Raw genomic sequence first — 22,337 nt, 5'->3', positions numbered from 1 at the left:
TAAAAGCAGTTTAAATGTTACTTTTGTGAATTGCTAAGAATAACCTTCTAAAGTTGGGTTTCTTAGGTCTTAACACTTCTTTTGCTGTGATTAATGTACATGTTTAAGAGTTATTTCTTTGGAAAACGTCTAGTCCTTTTTAAATTCTATTAATTTCCTAAATAGAAATTTGTAGAGGCATCATATTACCAATGTATTTTCATTAAACAAAACTCCCCAAAGATTTAAAACCAACTGAAACTTCAAAATTTCCATTATGAAGAGGAGAACATCCTGGGCCCTCAGTGAAGCACATTTATTCAGATCTTCAGCAGAACACATATATTCACTTTATTATATAAATCATCACCCGGAAGGGTAGTTCTTTCATAATATCCCATTGATACAAAATAAAGAACTTAATTTTGAAGAGTCACAAGACTTCTTCAGAGCTGCATCACATTTGTGAACTCCTGATAGAGATCTGGATAACATTTCCTCTCAGTAGTCTACAGCGGCAGCACGTTTATGTGGGTCTCCTAAATTGTCATCGTCTGCTGAACTCTAAGAAGTTTAGGTTCCAGCAGTGATCCCATTAAAAGTTCTTTTTTCCCCTGAGGATTTTCAATTCTGGGAAAAATAAAAAATCACCCCATGATTTTGCACACAGGACAACAACTTGAGGAAAATTTAATTTAAACCATTCTCCATGCAGCTCTGTGCACAATGTTAGGTTATTTATATCTTGTAGAAAGTACCAGAAAAAATATCTCATATGTTTTTGTTTTTTTTCCAATATGTGGAAAAATGTTGCTAATATGTAGGGTAATTGTTTCTTGAAAAATATTATCTAGTAAATGTTTTATTATTTAAATTACATATATTCAACAGGAAATAAAAATAAACTGATGAGGATTTCAACCATTGGACACTTCAAAGTTAAAACTATATGTCAAAATACAATAATATTTTATTAAAATGAAGAGCAATTTATAGTTTAAAAACCATACATAATTTCATAATTTATTTCTTACTAAATGATACACATTTGTATTAGAATAACTAAACACAAAGTTATGAAGTTGAATGACCAATAATTTTCTTACATTAAAAATATATCTGGCAGAATAATATTTTAGGATATTACACTAGCTTGTTTTCCATATTTCCAGGTACCTCATGACCTTTTCCAAAATACTCCGTTTCAAAACCCAAGGCAAACTATTGGATTCAAAAAGTATCATTGATTTTATAAACAATAGATTAAGAGGAATAGATTAACAGCTTAAACTGAACTACAGATGCTCTGAATTGAGAAAATAATTGAATCAGAAGCTAAGAAGGATTTTTTCCAACTGAACTCCAAGGAATGTTGACGTTAGAATACCCAGATAGGATGGCCAATTGAATAAAGAATCCTCTGCTTAAGCCTTTTGTCCCCCAAGTGACCAAGTGTTCCTGCACCAGTGTGGCAGGAAGTGAGCAGAAATATCTTTGTGAAGTGTCTGCATAGATGGGTCTGAGGCAGCCTATAGCGTATTCTCTGGCTTTAGTGTGCTTTCCATTACCTAGGAATATCAGTAACAGGGTACCAGGAGCCAATGTACTCAACATGTGTTGCTGTCTAGATGAGGAGAAAATGGCCATCAAATTTGTGGAGCTTTAGAGACCAGTTGCAAAAGTAGCTTTCAGTAAGTGAATCAGTACGACTAGATGATTAGAGATTGAATAAAAAATATGATAGTCTTTTAATGCCTCAGGCCCTTAAAACTTTTACTTAACTTTAGAAAACTGAAGCAAGGAGGAAGAAGGAGGGATGGAAAAAAAGTTGAATTGACTAACAATAAACATCTACTGTGTAGATAAGACAAAGCAATTCACATTATTGAAGGATGACAATACATTTCTTATACATGAATTTATGAAATATGATGTTTATTGGTTACATATGTGTGAACTATAGTTAACTCTATTCATTTTAAACTACATATTACATGCAGAAATGTATCATTTTATTTAGCTACATCAAATATTGTCATGTATCACATTATAATTACAGTATGTGGATGTGGCTAAGTTGTGTGGGGTACAAGTAGGAAAATGGCTGTGGCTAAATAAAAAATGATACTTTGGGGCTATTCAAAAAACAACAGACTAGGGTCCTTGTTTTGTCATTATCTAAGCATTTGAAAATGTCATCTATAACCTGCCTTAGTTTCCTCAGGCAATTACCTCTGACAAAGAGAAAAGTAGACATCAACAGCTGGAAGATGCTCTGACACTATCATTTATGCCTTGGTGTTGCTAGGAGCTGGCTCAGCACTCACAGCCAGGCCATGGTGCTTTATTCTACTGCTTGACAAAAACAACTTCAAAGTACATTCACATCAGAAAAGGATGTTGAGATTATGAAGGAGGAATAAGACAAGTCCCCTCCATAATTATACCTGAGCACAGAATAAGCCAAGAACAATGTCCAAAACTAAAAACTGACCAAATGCATCATCTATTCTGGCTAATATCTATAATTGCTGTTCCTAGCCTCTATTTGCTCCTCTCACCTTGTAGGTTAAGAATGATTAAGATATCAAATCAGTAAATTACCTGCTTTAGTGGCATTATTGAATCCAGGGCAGACCTCACTTCTTCAAAACCTCCCTAAAATCACCCAATTCAAGCAAAAACTCTTACAGTGATATGGTTTGGGTCTGTGTCCTTGTCCAAATCTCATGTCCAACTGGAATCTCCAACACTGGAGGTGGGACCTGAGGGGAAGTCATTGGATCACAGGGCCAGATTTCCCCTTTGGTGCCATTCTCCTGATAGTGAGTGAGTTATCATGTGATCCGATTATTTAAAAGTATGTAGCAGCTTCTCTCTCTCTTCCTCCTGCTCTGGCCATGTGAAGACGTGCCTGATTTCCTTTGCCTTCCACCATGGTTGTAAGTTTCCTGAGGCCTCCTTAGCCATGCTTCCTATACAGCCTGTGGCACTGTGAGCCAATTAAATCTCTTTTCTTCATAAATTACCCAGTCTCAAGTATTTATTTATAGCAGTGCAAGAATGAACTAATACATGCAGTAAGAGCTTTTTACACCCTCTTAAAAAAAATACTCTAAAATTTTCAATGGTGTGCAGTCTTCCTCAATGCAAGTAAATAAGCCCAACTTTGCTTGACTACCAGTGTGTTCCTTGTAAGTTTTGTCTGGAGGGCACTGACAACTCCATAAGGGAGGTAAAATCCTTTGATCACCATTATATCTCCAGCATCTTTGCAGTCTCTTGGAACATAGTAGTTATCCCGCAAATACCTGTTATAATTAATGAATAAACATATGTTACTAATTTTATATATCTATTATAAAAATATAGAATTGATTTTTATAAGAAGCTCTGCAATAGATGACAGATCATAATTTTTAAGCTTCCAATAAACTAGTGGATATTTGGAAGTGTCTTCTCCAATACTGCAGATTCTGCAAGATGTATAAATTCATGATATCCAGGCACAAAAGAAATAGAACTCTTCAAAATGCCAACTACAAAGTCTGAGTTATTGGTGAATTAAATCTTTATTAAAAATAAAATGTATTTATAATAAATCTTTAATAGATATTTAATTCGCCAATACTTCAGACTTCACTATAGTATAGCTTAGAGAAAAATGACAGTTATTTCACAAAATATGGATGTCCGGAATGCAATTTCACTGATTCCTACAGATCCTGACCACCATTAAAAATAAAGCAAAACAAAACAAATGAATTTAAAAGAAAACAAACTGCAGTTACCACAGTGTATTTCTCTTTAGTATAGATTTAGACGCAGATGCAGAATTAAATATGTCCTATCAATGATAAATGAGGATTCACTTTATGACAAAAAGCTATACGATGTACTCTAAGTGATATATTCCATACCAGTATGATCTGCCTAATACTGTCAGTAAATTTGTAACTCTATCTATTTTCTTCATAATTTCCTTCTGGCAGTACTTCTTCTCATAGTACTTGCGTATGATCCACTTAAGTTTCTAACATAGCAATATTAATCTCATTCTGGTTTTATTACCACATCTTATCATATAAGAAAACCAATAATGTTTATTATTTACTGAATATGAAAGGGAAATGCTAATGATCGCACGTTATGTATGCGACCATTTCATGTTAACTATAATTTATGAGTATTTTATGTGAAAGTGTGTGGAAACTGAATATTAAGTTAGCTGGAATCATTTATGCATCACGGCCACTGAAAAATACTATTTTTTTTTAATTTTTGCTATGTTTGGAGTTCGAAATAATATATAGGCCAGTATCATAAGCATATTAGTGACTAGATACACATTTTTATTAATATCAGGTATCTTTTTGGTAGCTTTTCAAAATATTTCCTGATATTTCGAATAATTTTTTCTATCTTAAAGAAGGTTTAGGAGAATATTTGTGGGTTTACCTTACTTTTTTGCATTGCATAATTGGTGTTCATTATCTTTTGCACAATGGCTCATAAAATTTCTGAATTGACCAGAGATTGTTGATTAATACGTAAGATATTATTTAGTCTGTAAGTTGAAAGTAACTGCAGTGGTTGTTCTTTTTTTTTTTTTTAATATATTAACACAGCTCTATTTAAATCCTGCTAAAAGCAGTATGTTATCAAACTAAACATTTGAATAACTTGATTAATAAGACAGATTATGTAGAGTATAAAGGTACATAGATGTTTACTAATATGCCATAACAAAAAAATGAGCAAAATATTGATCATTATGTTTAACCTTGATTTTAGTTAGCATCACAAGTAGAAACATATTCACCAACAGGAAGTCCTGGAACACAGCCAGTGCAACAGCAGTGAAGTTATTCTTTGCTACAATACTGCTCCACTGGACTAAACAAGTATAAAAAATGGATGACAGCAGGAGGACACCTGGCCAGCTGTTGTATGGTGAGCTGAACTGAGGAGATCTCAAATAGGGCAGGCTGAAGGAACATGCCACAGACACATTGAAGAACAATTTCAAGTAATGGAAGCATGGCTGCAGAAGACTGGGAAATAATATCAGGAGGAAGACTGACCCAATGTGGAGCAATTGGAGCAGCAAAGGTGTGCAGCCAGGTGAAGCTGCAGCATTTCAGCTTGCAACAGCTTTTGTAAAGAGCAGTCCCTCTCCCAATCAAAGAGCCCCATCCACCTGTATTATCTGAGTAAACATGGCAGATTTCTTACCATACGTTTTAGTAGTATTTCAATTTTTTAAATATATTTTTATGAAAAAAATCTCAGTCAGTGCTATGTTCAAATAGTTTCAAGTTTCCAAAAGTTCTTGCATAATGACTAGTACCATACACAAATTAAACATATAGTAGGTTTGGAAGCAGGTGTGTCCATACAGAAAATAATTGTGTTAAGGAACTTGCACATATCTGTTTTCCTTCACAGCTTTTCTGGAAGGTCAGTTAATCTGTGGCAGTCGGGATATAGTGAAGTAGTTAAAAGCAGTTTTAGGAGTCAGGCCATCCACGAGTTAAAATCACGTCCACAGCAATTAACACAATTTTAGCCCTGGGCAAATTGCACACCTCTCTTTCCTTCCATTAGAATATTTATATAAAGAGGCACTCATAGGGCTATTGGAAGTATAATCTTCAGAAAATGCTCAGCTCTGTGCCTGACTACATAGTTATTACCAGGGGACCTATATTTTTTCTGAATAGTCCATATAAAATAAACAAGAATTCAGTCGTTCTCATACACAATATTGGTGTTTCAAGGAAATGTATAGAATCTGTGCAAAATGGAGTGTGGGTTCTATTCAATATTATAGTACCTTTTTATGTGAAAGGAAACTAAATGATAATGAAAAATATTAGTTTCTGAAGGAATACTTTAAGAAGTGGATAAAATACATTTATGAATTATATTTGAAACTGACTTTCAATTGAACTGTATGCGGTCTTTGCATTTTCCATTTTTATCTGTCTGTTTACTATCATAGTGCCTGAGAGAATGACTCAATAGCTAAGTGGTTGTAGAATGCATGAATGTAGTGTGCACTTAAATCAACTCCAGAGCCTTGATTTAGTTGCTAATACACATTGCTTATTTTTCATAAATCTTTAGTAGGAAATGATGTCTTCTTGCCTTCAAATATCAAAAGATGTGTTGTTATAATGAGATGAACAAACTTTTTTTGGCCCCGGATAATTAAAGAAAACTTAGCCTTATTTTTAAATTATGTATCTGAAGCACAGTACTATTTAAAATAATCAAATTATTCCCACTTTTTTCTTTACTTTGGGTGGAATATAACTATAGTATTTTGTTACCATTTATCTCTTTCAGCAATTTTCTTTATGTCCTTGAAAGATCCATCTTTGATCAGATCAAATTATTTCCATTTTTATTTCTTTGTATTTGTATTATTAAAATATCTAATTACCTTATTCATATTTATTATTTAGATATTATATAATGTATAATTTTTAATTTTTAACATTAACATAACAATGTCTATGGCCCCTTAGCCGCTATTTATAAATTTTCATAATTTTTACATAAATACCACTGAAATTTAAAACCTGATTCAAGTAGATGATTAGAATAATGATCTCTCTCTGCTAGACAGTAACTTTTTATAGAGCTATATTTTGAGTTGTACCTCTTGTTGTATAATACACCTTCCATCTGATGTTTAGAAACTATGAGAAATTTGATCATGGAGATTAAATAATTCACTTTAAATTTTTTTTATGTTTGTTCTGTGTGTTCTAATTTATCATGTTAAATTATGTGTGCTCATTGCAAATGAAGACTTTCAATCTTTGACTACGTGATTTCCACTTTTCTTACAAGGGGCTCCAGATGCCCTTGGGTAGACAGAAAGATCAAGTTCAAGGACTGTTATTGAAAATGCCAGTTATCTGGAGACTAGCAGCCCATAGAAAACTTTTAGGTAATAAGGTTGAAAGCAAATGTAATGATTGGAAGAAATGTCTAGTCCAAATAAGGGCTCTCCTATCCTTTCCACTAATATTGCTAAACTTTATTTAAAGATATTTAGTGACTTTGCCGTATCTACCTCATTAATAAAATGTTTCTACACTTTGATTGACCTTACTGTCAAAAAGTTTGGTAAATATCTAAAATAAATATAACTTTCTTCAACGTAAGTCCAGCATGTCTAGTTTAACATTAGCATCTAATGTTAATATTTCTCCATTTTACCAGATTCTTATAATGTCACCAAGAACCTTAATTAACTAATCATATTTTGTTTCTGAGTTGATTTTCTGATTTTTAAAAATGAAAAATCTTTGTAGCTTTATGTATTTTTAATTATCTTTTAATTGGTTTCTATTTTACTGAATTCAACTTTGCAATGACTTATAATGATTCAAATTTCACAGTAGGTATGTCTTTCAGAGAGCTTAGTGGTTATTGCAAAAATCATCCTATAGGTCTTTACTACTTTACAGTGAAGGAAAGAAACATTTAAAAAGCACAGAGCCATGTAGAAACATAACGTAAAATTTGAATTCCAAACTACGTACGGAAAACAGATTTTCAAGCCTTCATAGATTTCTTAGGGTTGCACTTTCATTTATCAATCTTTATATCCGATAAAATTTACTTTATCCATGGAAATGAAGCATTTTTATGAATATTTGAGTTAACTGTTATCTTTCATATTTCAATATTATATAATATTTAGGCATTATATTTTAATATAAATAATAACTACCTCTCAGATTTAAAGAGTCTAGAAAACAGGTCCTTATCATTTTTTCTAAGCAATTTAGGATGCCGGTGCACCCTGACTTAGGCAAGATGATTAAACAGGTTTGGTAGAAAACAATATTCACAGTTATTTTGGAATGCTGTGGAAAAGTACAGATTATACACATTTGGTAACCAAATTATATTAGTCTATTTTCTAGGATACATATATTAAAATAATTTTGTTTAATATGTGTCAAGACATTCTAGTCTTTCGTTTTGTTTTGTTTTGTTTGTTTTTTTGTTTGTTTTTGAGACAGAGTTTCACTTGTGTCGCCCAGGCTGGAGTGCAGCGGCACAATCTCAGCTCACTGCAACCTCTGCCTCCCGGGTTCAAGGATTCTCTTGCCTCAGCCTCCCGAGTAGCTGGGACTAAAGGCATGCCCCACCAGACCCGGCTAAATTTTTTGTGTTTTTAGTAGAGATGGGGTTTCACCATGTAGGCCATGCTGGTCTTGAACTCCTGACCTCAAGTGATCCATCTGTCTTGGCCTCCCAAAGTGCTGGGATTACAGGCATAAGCCACCATGCCTAGTCTATTCTCAGTCTTTTTAACAGAGTTAATATGTGACTTTTAATTTTTTTCTATTAATAAAATATAATGTATACTTTTTAATAACAGCCAGGAATTTTAGGTCTGCATCCATGTTAAGAAATTCCTTTGGTGTTCTTTATCATGGAAATTGTCAATTATTCTACCCATAAATCATTTCTGCATTTACTAACAGCTATAAGAAAACTGGAGGCCGGGTTGGTGGCTCACGCCTGTAATTCCAACACTTCGGGAGGCCAACGCAGGCAGTTCACAAGGTCAGGAAATCGAGACCATCCTGGCTAACATGGTAAACCCCGTATCAACTAAAAATACAAAAAAATTAGCCAGGCATGGTGGCACACGCTTATAGTCCCAGCTACTCAGGAGGCTGAGGCAGGAGAATGGCTTGAGCCCAGGAGACAGAGATTGCAGTGAGCCAAGATTGTGCCACTACACTCCAGCCTGAGCAACAGAGTGAGATTTCATCTCAAAAAACAAACAAACAAACAAAAATAAACAAACAAAAAAAAGAAAAAAGAAAGCAAAAAAAGAAAAAGATAAAAAGAAAACTGGAGGTGGAGGGGTGGGGGCGTGAGGGACGGGAGTGAAGGAATAAAAAAATCCAAGGAAATACAACCTACCAAAATAGTTTACCATACAGTAATTCTCCTTTAAATGAGAAATAACTGTTAAACTGTTTGAAATTGAATTTTGGTGATAGCAGTCTTATTCACTGAATTCTTATTTTTATTTCCACTTAAACTCCTTCTACTCCCTTAATTCTAAGCATTTTGGAGGTTTTATCTTGCTTTTAATTCCTTTGTCTACAATCCACATTGCTCACCAATTGGTCCTAAATACCCATCTCCAACTTTGGCTGATTTCCTGAGTAATACTCTTTAGTTTTCAATTGTCTACTACAATTTTACATAAGTGCCTTATTCAATATCAATCTGAAAAATATTTTTTGAGAATGTAGAATTCAACAGGTGAAGTTTGGGGCACGGCGGATAGGTTGAAATTTAATTGAAAATAATCTTGTCTTTTTGAAGATAATATTCCAATGAAGGAAGAACTTAAAATAAATATATTTAGCAAGTAATTTATATTATATAATACAAAATAAAAATTATCATTTTAAAAAAATCGAGGTAGGGAGCTTCAGAGCATTGTGGTAAGCCTTACTGAGAATTTGACATATGATCAAAAACAAAAAAAGGCAGCCTGTGCATATATCTGCAGGGAGAATGTTCCAGGCATAGGTAACAGCCAGTGCAAAGGACCTGTTGCATGAGTATTCCTGGCATAATTAAATAACAGCAAAAGTGTCCAGGGGAGTAGTAGAAGAGGAGATATATAAAAGAAGATCACAATGTATAAATCTTTAGAAGGTATTGTAAGAAAATAGCTTTACTGTGAAAGAAAAATGATGGTACCATTAGAAGTTTCTGAGAAAAGTGATGCAATCGTCTTCTTCATGTCTTAAGACAATCTCTCCAATGCCTTTATTAATTCTTAAAAATATACAAACACCCAGAAATTGAATTAGAGTGGGTTAGACCAAGGTGGTAGCAGTGGTGCAATAGTGGGAAGTGGTTGGATTCTGAAGTATTTCTATCACAGCATCAGTAAAAAAGAATGCACAGATTATTTCGTGATCTTTGGGCTGGGAATACTGAAGGATGCAGTAGGCATTAGCTAAGATGGAGATGACTATAGGAGGAAAGGATGTGATGAGGGAAGCAGGAGTGTGGGCACTGTAATTATAAATGTCCAAGTGAAATGTATCTCCTGTCATCCTGCTGTTTCTTTCTTTCCCTATCTTGATTTATTTGTCTCATGGACCTCTGCTAATCCTATTTAATGTTTCTTTTTTACATCCCTACTGTAATTGCCTACCGTTATTGTCATTGCTCAGACAAGTCATATTATTCTATAGCAAGTCTTTTTTTATGATGATTTCCAACATACATAATTAACCACTATGTACGTGTCATGGGATCTTTGGGGTGTTGCTTTGCCAGCCAGAAATCTCTATGGCTGGGGGTGTCTTCTGTCTGAGTATTGCTTGTGGCCACTGGGCTTGTTCCACACACTCGGCCCTGCAGGCTGCACTTGGCTCGTGCTACCAGCTCAGATTTCATACCTCCCAAGGGCACACCAGGCACAGAGCAGTGCGAGGTGTATAGGCAAGCAAGGGTGGGGACTGGCCATTGTCCACAGCCAGGCACGGTGCTTGTTGTGGTGGGGCAGGCTGCTCAAGGCACTGGCACAGGTGCCGGCTCTGTACAAAGCTGTAGCTGGACCAAATGTACCACACGTGGTTTCTGCTGTGGGCACCGTGTCTGGAAAAGGAAAATGCATTGGCATCTGGAAGCTTGCAGAAGCCAGTTACTGCAAAGCCCCAAGGAGGGTGTCACAACCCTGGCTCAGGGACCCCCTAGGTCTGGGCTCCCTGAAGAACTGCAGCTCTTCTCTCCTTCTCATCTTCTGCAACATGGTGAGCAGAGAGATGTGTTTCAGCTCTGTTTGTATTACAGCTCTTTCAGTCTCACCATTTAGTGTGTCCCGAGTTCTTATCCCACCTCCAGGAAGAATGAGGTACATGAACAACTGAAGGGAGAACAAGGCAGAGAGGAACTTCATTGAGCCACAGAACAGCTCTCAGGAGACCCGCAGTGGGTAGCTCCTTGCTGCAGGCAGATGTCCCGACATCTGTCCAGCTCTTAGTGGAGAGCAGACCTGCAGTGGTTAGTTTCTTTTTACAGACAAGTCCTCCCGACATCTGTGCGAGTCTGGCTGAAACTGGGGTTGGTATGGGCTCAGAAGGGAGGAAGTATGTGCTGACTGCTCCATGGGCAGCCATGGGCGGGCTTGGAAAAAGCACTGTAAGTTCTCACTCTGGGCGACGCGGACTCCACCTGGAACTGGCAGCTCCGCCCTCAGGCTTCAGGTTGTCGTTGGCTTGAAAGTGGGGTTTTATCAAGGGCCGGCCCCTATCTGCCCAGTAACATGTCTGCCTCCTGCCATCAACAGGCTGTCCACCGTGCCTAGGATGTTTGTGCTGAGGGGCACCTGCAGGCTCAGGCTGAGCCACCCTTATCCCCCCCCATTAACTTCCTCCCATGCTCATCAGTGCCCAAAGTCTAGAGGGGGCCGAGGAGGCAGGGGTCTGGCATGTCAGTGCCACCCAGAGTATGTACACACCCAGCCAGGTCAACATAGCAACCGTGCTTGGCAACAATTTTTCTTCACACCAGACTGGCTACTGGGAGTGGGGAGAAGCCAGACACTGGGAGCAGGCACTTCCGAGCCTAGGCGGCAGAGGATTACCAGGCCCCCGAGAGCACAGGGATGCCAGGAATCGGAGCCACAACTGGGCAGCTGCAGCTGCACCCAGGAGCATGGAGCACACAACCCTGGCCATGCCCACCCCGCTGCAGCTGGCATCTTCACAGCGGCCACTCCAGATGGGTCACCACTACCATCATATGTGTGCCTCAGCTTGGATCAACAAAAATTGACAGTTCTACTAGCTTCATCTATACCTTTCTCCAGCATTCCCTTTCTTTTCTTTCCTTTCCTTTTCTTTAAAAAAAAATTAGGGTATTTGTTTCTATATGTGTTTCAAAAAGAGGATGTTTTTCTTAAATAACTATAATGCTATTATTGCATCTCAAAAATTAAGAATAATTATTTAATATCTTCTAATACCTTCTCCATAATAAAAGTCCTGATTATTTTAAAAAAATAGTTTACTTGAAATAGAGTTCAAATGAGGTCCAATTATTGTAATAATGTTAATGAATTATCTTTTAATTCTGATGAAGTAATGTTAGAATACTTTTTTTTTTTTCTACTTTTTTCTTCACGAAAATAAAAACTTCGCTAAAGAAAACAGGTTAGATGGCCTGAAGACTATACCTCATTTTGGATTTGGCTGATTGTATCTTGTTGGTGTTGATCAGTTTATCTCTCCTTCCCCCGCACTTTCTATTGACTTCCTGTTCAATGATAGCTCAATGTAGGGTCGATGATAGTCAAGTTCAATATGCATGCGTGCCCGGGGTGAGTGAGCATGTTGTGTGCATGTGTGCTTGTGTAGAAATACTTCCTAGGTGGTGCTGTCACTAATAGCCTCTTAAGTGTCTCTACTCTCTCTGTTTATAAGGCTGGCAGAATTATCTATTTGGAGAACAGATCTTCTAAAATCCTTAACTGTTTATGCTTCAATGATAAAGCCTAAAGTTTTAAGCCAGCAATTCTACACCTTCACAACTTGACCATAAAGTCTGTGCTCCAGCAGTCTATGATCACTGTCTGCCAGCTCCTCATCACTGTCAAACCCATAGTGAGTTTTAAGAACTAACAGAAAGGGTATTTTGAAGGCACTTTGAATGGCATTGGTATACAAAAAGAACTAAAAAAAAAAATAGTAGTTTTCTCTTTTTAATACACTTTTCCATGTTATTCCTTAAACTTAAAATACCTGGCTCTCACACATCTACTGATCTTTTACACAGCCCTAAGGCTATTTCATGTCACTTTCTCTGACATTTTTTTCCCAACTCCACCCTTTCACCACAGCACATAGAATGAATCTCTCTCCAGTTCCATGGATTTTTCTTATGGTAACTCATATTTTATTTTCTCTGGATTTATGATTATTTTCGTAGTTATTTCCCATAAATTTTTAATTTTTTAGGAAAATGTGCTGTCTTACACATTTTAATAGGATTGCATATTCTGGGAACTCAATATAATTTTTGGAAAATAAATGTATAAAGGCATGCATCTTTTAAATTTGGATTCCTTATACAGCACAAAGCAAAGTGAAAACTAAGCTATTATTTTGTGATTCATAAATTAGGCTATTTTCTATTTCAAAGGCAATAGATAAGATATAAGTAAAAGGTAATGCTAGATTAGATCCTAAATATCAGGAGTAGAATGTAATGACAAATGATGCAAATTATTTCCTTAGTATATTTTTAAGAATTGTTAACGTTTGTTCTTCCTTATATGGATGCTTATGAAATGCTCAAGTTTAACAAAATAAAAATTACTATAATACTTATCATTTACATAATTTAACTCTTATAGTTACTAGCAAAAAATTGGTAATTTGGAAACTTTCTGATTTTTACTTTTAAGAATTCTTTCCTTTTTACAATAATAAGCAGTAAATAATAATTACACATATGCGATAAAATATCTTTGATAATGTGCTTTATTGAAACATATATTCTTTGCTATTCAAGTTTTTAAGAGGAAAAGCTTAGATATGAAAATAACTTATCTTTGGTATTATTTCTTTGGCTTCTTTCAATCTATAAAAGCTTTCAGTAGCTATCATAATCCTTTAGTTTTTTAGTGTAAATACTTGTCACTGTATCATCTTAAGTAATAACAACTCTCCATATGTATAATAAAATTGCATTTTATAGTTCATACTTAAAATAATACACGTTAGACTTCACATGAGATAATCGAAAGAAATCAAAATTTCTGTGACCAAAGAAATACTAAGAAACCACTTCTGCTTCATTGCTGACAGCTAAGCATGCTACTCATTTTCAATGCAATCAGCAGTCTATCTTTTTTTTATTTATTTCTACTATGAGACACACTAATTAAATTCCCCTTTGCCCAATTCTTTTCATATACCACATGAATAGCAAGTAAAGTCAATTTGTGAACTTATTGTCCTTGACATACTGTAGAAGTGTTTCCAGCTGGAACTGATTATGTTTAATCTTCAGCGTTACCCAGGTAAAAAATAATCCAAAAGATAACAATAAATAATTGCAGCTCTAACTTATTTAAATTTGTTCTGCTACTGTTTTGGAACAATGCAGATGAATAGCAAAAGATCTTTCACATTGTCCGACGAATGTTTCCACAGCCGTAATTATTTTCTTGCATGAGACCATGTGCCCTCTGCAGCAGGTGACAGATAAATGATTTTAAGATGTGAGAAAACTGAATTGAAGCACTCATTATTCTTTGAGGAAATAGAATCAGGACTAGAATGTGCAAGTCTTATACTCGATCTTCCTGAGAAAGACAATAGTACAGACATTTTAGAAGGTAAGATTTTACATGTATCTTAAAATCATTTGGGCTTTCTTCTATAATATACTCTAAAAAATGTGATACTTGCAGTCTTATTATAGGAATTATTGTCAACAAGAATAAAAGGCTGGTTTATAAACATGACAGAATCTTTGCAAATTATACTTTGGAAAAATGTGACTATATGTATTTATATACTACATAAATATTATTAAAATAATATAAAAATATATATACAAGCTACATTATATATACTATATAGTGTTTATATGCCACATATACTTTGCAATTTATATATATTTTAAATACCTGAGTAACAAAACTACTTTATAAGTGCCAAACTTTGTAAACTGAAGTTCTTATTTTTAAAGGAAAATGAGCTAGACAATGCTACTTACATGATATTTAAACTTTTAGGCAAAAGTACTGAATATCTAAGAAGCCAGTTGCCTTTATTAAGATGGAACAAAGTGTGCTATTGTATGTAAACTCATAAGAACTTGTGAATTTTAAAGACAAAAACCAGATATTTCTTTTAAAGCAAAATCTTTAAATAAAAACGTAGCTCTTACATATACTAAATGATGTACATTTAAAATATACACATTATAATTTAAATAAAACCGCATTGGGCATACAGTGCCTCTTACTGAATATTTGTCATTCCATAAGAAATATATTAATGTCCAAAATGCTGTCTTTCAATCTCTAATTATTGAAGGCCTATAAGATTTAATCTGTAAATAATTTATTTTTTAATAATAAAGTTATATTAATTTTGTTTTTTTAAAGATCAAATGGTGCATGGTATATTAAAACATTTTAATTATAATCTGTACTTTATTATATAAAATTCCTCTTAAAAAAAGACTAATCAAATCTGTTTTGTTCTATTTGAAACTAATTTTTTTCATAGAAAACTGCATACAATATAAAAGAGGATGCAATACTTTGTGAGAAAATAGTTAATGCCAAAAATAGTTTAGTGTTTTATCAAATACAAAAAAAAGACATAAACATTACAGTGTCAAATGAAAAATTAATCAAATTATTCATATCAAGGATTTAATATACTAACACTACGATGGTTCTGTAAAAATTTAAAAAGCTTCTGCACAGCAAAAGAAATAATCAACAGAGAAAACAGACAACCTACAAATATTTGCAAGCTAATTATCCTATCAAAGGCTAATACCCAGAATCTACAAGGAACTCAAACAACTCATGAAGAAGAAAACAAATAGCCCCATTAAAAAGTGGGAAAGGATACGAACAGACTTTTTTTTTAAAGAAGACTTAGAAGCCAACAAACATGAAAAAATGCAAGTTAAAACTACAATGAGATACAATCTTACACCAGCCAATATGACTATTATGAAAAAGTCAGAAAAAACAGTAGATGTTGGTGATAATGCAGAGAAAAGGGAAAGTTTATACACTGTTGATAGGAATGTAACTTAGTACATCCTCTATAAAAAACAGCATGGAGATTTCTCAAAGAACTAATTACTAGTAAAAGAATTACTAGCAATCTCACTGCTGTGTATATACTCAAAGGGAAATGAATCATTATAGAAGAAAAACCGGAGGCATATATTTATTGCAGCATTATTCACCATAGCAAAGTTATGGAATCAGCCTAAGTGATCAACAAATAATTAGATAAAGAAAGTATGGTGTGTGTGTGTGTGTGTGTGTGTGTGTGTGTGTTTGTGTGTGCGTGTTGTGTGTGTTTATCTATCATCTATCTGTCTCTGCCTTTCCTTTTATATATATTTGTAATATACATTTATTTATTTATTTATTTCTACACACCATGGAATACTACTCAGATATAAAAAAGAATAAAATCATGTATTTCACAATGGAATGGAAGGCTGTTATCTTAAGTGAAATAACTCAGAATCAGAGCGAAATACCACATGGTCTCACTTACAAGTGGGATCTAAACAAACAGTACACATGGATGTAGGGGATTTGAGGGGACAAGGGGAAAGTACACATTGTAGCCTACAATAGGTGGCAGGGTGGGAGGTGGGTGACGGTTGAAAAATTACCTATTGGGTACGATGTTTACTATTTGAGTGACAGGTATACTAAAAGCCCAGACTTCACTACACAATATATCAATGTTATAAAATTTCACTTGTATCCTCTTAGTCTATTTTAAAAATTTAAAATGATAAATAAAAAATAAAATAAACAAAATTCCTATGTGGACCAAAGTTAATATGTGACTTCAAATTCATCTCTGTAGAAAATCTCATTTTGTGTTTTGTTCTCTAATCTTTCTCGTTAAGTTTCTCAGTATTTAATGCTTACTTGTAGAATTACAAACTGCAATACTTTGCATTTCCATTTTACTTTGACATGCATAATCTCATTGGTTCTTTACAAATTTGTGAAGGAGACAGATAAGGTACTGCTACACTAATTAATTAATAAATGTTGTACAAGAGAGATTAAGTGGCTTGCTGCATGTCATACAGCAATGATGTTGCATAGCTGAATGCATAAACAATTTTCTCCAAGCCTGCAGCCAATCTGATTGTGGATTTCTTCCCCTTGGCACTTCTTACAAGAAATCGATTTAAAAAAAAAAACTCATTAAAATAGACTACTGATAATCCTAATCCTACAAAATAAAAGATTGGTAATAATTCAGAATAAAAGTTCAAAATGAAACATGAGTTATGTGTAGGAGGAAATAGGGTTACCACATGCCCTAGTCTTTTTATATACCTGCCAATGGACATGATAAATTGACATTTGATGGTTAAATGTAACTTTACGTGTATAAGCATCTCGGGGATTTTTGGCACATCTTGAAAGTATTTTTCCTGGAGTTTATTTTCCTAAATTAGTCAGTAAGATTGAAGCAATGCAATTTAACATAATAAATTATTTTTATTTTTCAACTACTATCAAGTGTTACTTTCACTTGGACCCAAAGCCTTGGCCTGGACTTTGCCATTATCTCTGTTCTAAACCTTGAAATAACTTTTGTTAATATCCCAGGCTCAAATAAAGCTTCCCCTTCCCTTGCTGCAAGTATAACTAGGTTTAGGTCTCACTGTCTTTTGACCCTGGAATTTCCATCCAATTTTTCTGTGTCTCCTGTGTTTAAATCCGTCCCTCTTCAATGTGGAAGTCAGAATTCCCTCACTTTCATCATTTTCTTCTTAGAAATTTGAAACTCTCTGCCCTGTTTTCTGTATAACTCCACCAGTCCTTCATCTGTCAATAAATTTCTGATTCTACAACTGAGTTTCTAAGCATTAACGAAGAAAATCAGTTGGCTGTGTAGGTTGGTGATAATATAACATACCTTATCTTTATCCTCAATAATGCCAGTACATTATTCTGTTTCCATTATCTGTTCCTTCTCCAATTCTTTCCTGCAGTAATTTCAAATTTTACCAATGTCTTCAACTTGCCTTTCTTCTTTTCTGAGAAAACTAACTTCTATTTCGCATAAAAAACAGACATCAAGGTAATAATACCTTTTTTGTCTTATCTGTCCCTGCCCTACCTAAACAGGTATTTGTATCCACTATTTTTACATTTTTTCCTTCAATACCATTGGGAAAATGTTTCTTCTCTTACCCAAGTCACAGGTGGAATATGTAGCTACTTGTGGCCTGAATGCGTTTTGCTTCTTCATCTTTCTCGATCTTTCCTTTATTTTGAAATCCTACTCTCCTTTTCCATTTGCCCAACAGCTGTATGTGACCAAGACTCTTCTTCTATAGTCAATCAAGTTAAAACGTTCACCTCCATAAGTCTATACTCAGTGCTTTAGTGGTATTACATTTCTATTTATACTTTAACATTTTTACTATAAATGCTTAATATATAGCAAGAAGTCCATAAAAAAATTAACACACATTGACAATTTACCTAGCTTAGGATATGGAAAATCACCCAGAAATATGGAGCATCCTGTATGGTACTACAATATCACATTATTTTATATTTCCCAAGAAATAAAAACCATCTTGTACTTTATATGCTTTTTATGGATTTTACCATATATATATATATATATATACACACACACACACACACACACATATACATATATATATATATATCTGTTGTATTTTACATAAATTATTCTATATAATGTGCATTGTTACATGATTTGATTTTTTTCAAATTGTTACTTTGAGATCTTTCCCTATTGATATGTGTTGCTTTATTTCTTTTCACAATTGTATAATATTCATTTTATGAAAATGCCCTAAGGTGCAGTGGCTCATACCTGTAATCTCAGCACTTTGGGAGGCCGAGGCAGGTAGATCACCTGAGGTCAGGAGTTTGAGACCAGCCTTACTGACACTGTGAAACCCCGTCTCTTCTAAAATACAAAAAATTAGCCAGGCGTGGTGGCAGATGCCTATAATCCCAGCTACTCAGGAGGCTGAGGCAGGAGAATCACTTGAACCTGGGAGGTAGAGGTTGCAGTGAGTCTAGATCGCACGATTGCACTCCAGCCTGGGCAACAAGAGCGAAACTCCGTCACACACACACACACACACACACACACACACACACACACACACACACAGAAAGAAAGAAAAGAAAATGCCCTAAGGTGTTTTATCTGTTCAACTGCTGCTTTTGAGAATGTGGCCTGTTTCTAAATTGTTGTCATAATAAACAATGAAGATATATATTAATGCCCATGTATCCTGGTAACATTTTTAAGGCTTATATTATCTCTTTTTGTAGTAAATTTTAGTGGATATAATTTTAATTTTAATATGTTTGAAGTTATTACCGTTATAATGCATATTTTGGCTTTTGTTCTACTTAGAGAATTCTTCTCTGCTGAAAGTTGATAGAAATATTTTCCCATATTTTCTGCTAAAAGTTTTAAAATTTTTTAAGTGTTGAATTTTACATGTAAGCCCTTCATACAACAGCAATTGTTTTGATAAATGCTGTAGATAGAATTTAAAATGTATTTATTAAAAAATAGATTGCATACTGATCTAAAATGCTAGTTCTATTAAATGTCAGATTCTCAATTAAGGTCTTGGATACACTAGGTTATTTATTGGAAGTTTTTCTGCTTTTTTTTTGATGTTGGCACTTATAGTTTTAAACTTCATTCTGAGTATTGATTTCATGGTATCCCATAGGTTTCGGTATGTTTTGTTTCCATTATCATTTGCTTCAATAAATTTTTAATTTTTCCTTTTTTTTAGTTTTTGAGATGGGCTCTCTCTGTGTCATCCAGGCTGGAGTGTGCAGTGGCACAATTATAGCTCCCTGCAGCCTTGACCTCCTAGGCTCAAGCAATCCTCCTACCCCAGCCTCTCAAGTAGCTGGGACTACAGACATGTGACACCATGCCTCTCTATTTTTGAGTTTTTTTTTGTATAGACAGGGTCTCCCTATGTTGCCTAGGCTGGTCTGAAACTCTTGAGCTCAAGCAATCTACCTGCCTCGGACTCCCAAAGTGTTAGGATTACAGATGTTAACCACCTCACCCAGGCCCCATTTTCCTCCTAATTTACTTATTGACCCACTGGTCATTCAGGAGCATATTGTTTAACTTCCATGTGTTTGTATAGTTTTCAAAATTCCTCTTCTATTGATTTCTAGTTTTAGTTCTTTGTGGTCATAGGAGATAATTACTGTGATTTCAATTTTTTTTGAATTTTTAAAAGATTTGTTTTTGACATAACAAATGGTCTATCCTTGAGAATAATAAATGTGCTGAGGAGAATACTGTGTGTTCTTCAGCCCTTGGATAAAATGTTCTGTAAATATTAATTAGGCCCATTTGGTATTTAGTGCAGATTAAGTTCAATGTTTCTTTGTTGATTTTATTTCTGGATGAACTGTCAGTGCTGAAAGTGGGGTGTTGAAGATTTCAGCTATTATTGTATACTTTAAGTATTGATACCTCTCTCTAGGTTTGGGAAGTTCTGTGTTATTATTTCTTTGAATAAACTTTCTACATCTCTCTCTCTACTTTCTGTTTAAGGCTAAGAAGTTTTAGATTTACCCTTTTGAGGCTATTTTCTAGATACTGTAGGTGTGCTTCATTTTTTTTTCTTTTTTCTTTTGTTTTCTCTGACTGTGCACTTTTAAATAGCCTGTCTTCAAGCTCACTAATTCTTTCTTCTGCTTGATCAATTCTGGTATTATGAGACTCTGATGCATTATTCAATATGTCAGTTGCATTTTTCAACTCCAGAATTTCTGCTTGATTATTTTAATTATTTTAATGTCTTTGTTAAATTTATCTCATAGAATTCTGAATTCCTTCTCTATGTTATCTTGAATTTTGTTGACTTTCCTCAATACAGCTATTTTGAATTCCCTGTCTGAAAAGTCACAAGTTTCTGTCACTCTGAGATTGGACTCTGGTGCCTTATTTAGTTTGTTTTGTGAGGTCATGTTGTCCTAGATGGTTTTGTTACTTGTAGATGTTTGTTGGTGTATTAGTCAGTTCTCACACTGCTAATAAAGACACCCGCAAGACTGGTTGATTTATTAAAAAAAAAAAATAAGAGGTTTAATTGATTCACAGTTCAGCATGGGTGGGGAAGCCTCAGGAAACTTACGCTCATGGCAGAAGGGAAAGCAAACATGTCTTTCCTCACATGTTGTCAGGTAGAAGAAGAATAAGAGCCAAGTGAAGGGGGAAGAACCTTATAAAACCCTCAGATCTTCTGAGAACTTACTATCACGAGAATAGCATGGGGGAAACTGCTCCCATGATTCAATTACCTCCCACCAGGTATCACCCACAACACAGGAGATTATGGGAACTATAAATAAAGATGAGATTTGGGTGGGGATGCAGTCAAACCTTATCAGTTGGTGTCTGGACTTTGAAGAGTTAAGTATTTATTGTAGTCTTAACAATCCAGCTTTGTTTGTACCTGTCCTTCCTGGGAAGGCTTTCCAGGTATTCAAAGGGACTTGGGTCTTATGATTTAGCCTTTTAATCACTGCAGTTCTGTCTTAATTAGGGGGCACTCCAATCCAAGTAACACTGTAGCTCTTGCAGACTTGCAGAGGTAGTACCTTGATGGTCCTGAATAAGATATAGAAGAATTCTCTGGATTACTAGGCAGAGACACTTGTTCTCTTCCCTTGCTTTATCCCAAACAAATGAAATCTCTCTATCTGTGCTGAGCTGCCTGGAATTGGAGAAGGGGTACACAAGGATCATTATGGCCACCACCACTTGGACTGTGCTCTGTCTGATCTGAAGCCAGCACAGCACTCTGTCTGCCTAAAGCCTAGTAGCCTACTACAACCACTAGCTGGCTACCACCTATGTTCATTAAAGGTTGTAGGTTGCCACATCAGCAGGTAGCAAAGTAAGCCAGACTTGGTTCTTCCATTCAGGGTGGTGAGTTCTCCCAGGCCCCAAGCAAGTCCAGAGGTGCCATCTGGGAGCGAGGGACTAGAGTCAAATACCTTAGAAGTCTATCCAGTGTTCTGTTGTACTGCAGCTGAGCTGGCATCAAAACCACAAAAAGCAGAATGTCCTACTCTTCCCTCCCCTTTCCAAAGAAAGAGGAGCCTCACCCGTGGCCACCACCACCACAGGCCCATGTGGAGTTCTACCAGGCTGCTACCAAAGAGAGCCTCAGGTCTCTTCAGTCAGATTGTGGTGAGTGGTGCCTGGTGTGGCACTCACTTTCCAGGGCAGTAGGCTTCCCTCTGGCCCCAGGCAGGTCCAGAAATATCATCCAAGAGCCAAGGCCTAGAGTTGGGGACTGCAAGAGCCTGTTTGGTGCTCTACCCTCTTGTTGGCAAGCTTGTATCCAAAGTGCAATACAAAGTCCTCTCTACCTTTCCCTCCATTTTTCTCAAGAAAAAAGAGCCTTTCCCTGTAGCCACCAAAGCTGGGGATGTGCTGAGTCTCACCTTAAAGCAGAGAGTCTCAGAGACTCACTCAAATCCCTCAATGTAGTACCTGTGTATTGCTGCT

The 22,337-nt window shown here is 35.3% G+C and overlaps 1 long non-coding RNA gene across 1 annotated transcript in view; it reads left to right on the top strand.

Annotated features, from left to right (window-relative positions):
* The window catches only part of LOC105370241 (uncharacterized), a 30,064-nt gene extending 24,846 nt beyond the window's left edge, over window positions 1–5,218 (top strand). The window contains exon 2 of the long non-coding RNA XR_942031.1: window positions 4,774–5,218. This is a non-coding gene — a long non-coding RNA (uncharacterized LOC105370241). The remainder of the gene's footprint in view (window positions 1–4,773) is intronic.
* The last annotated feature ends 17,119 nt before the right edge of the window (window positions 5,219–22,337 follow it).

Source organism: Homo sapiens, chromosome 13 (genome assembly GCF_000001405.40).
Source record: "Homo sapiens chromosome 13, GRCh38.p14 Primary Assembly".
Classification (NCBI taxonomy): domain Eukaryota; kingdom Metazoa; phylum Chordata; class Mammalia; order Primates; family Hominidae; genus Homo; species Homo sapiens.
This window is presented reverse-complemented; position numbering and strand designations above follow the sequence as displayed.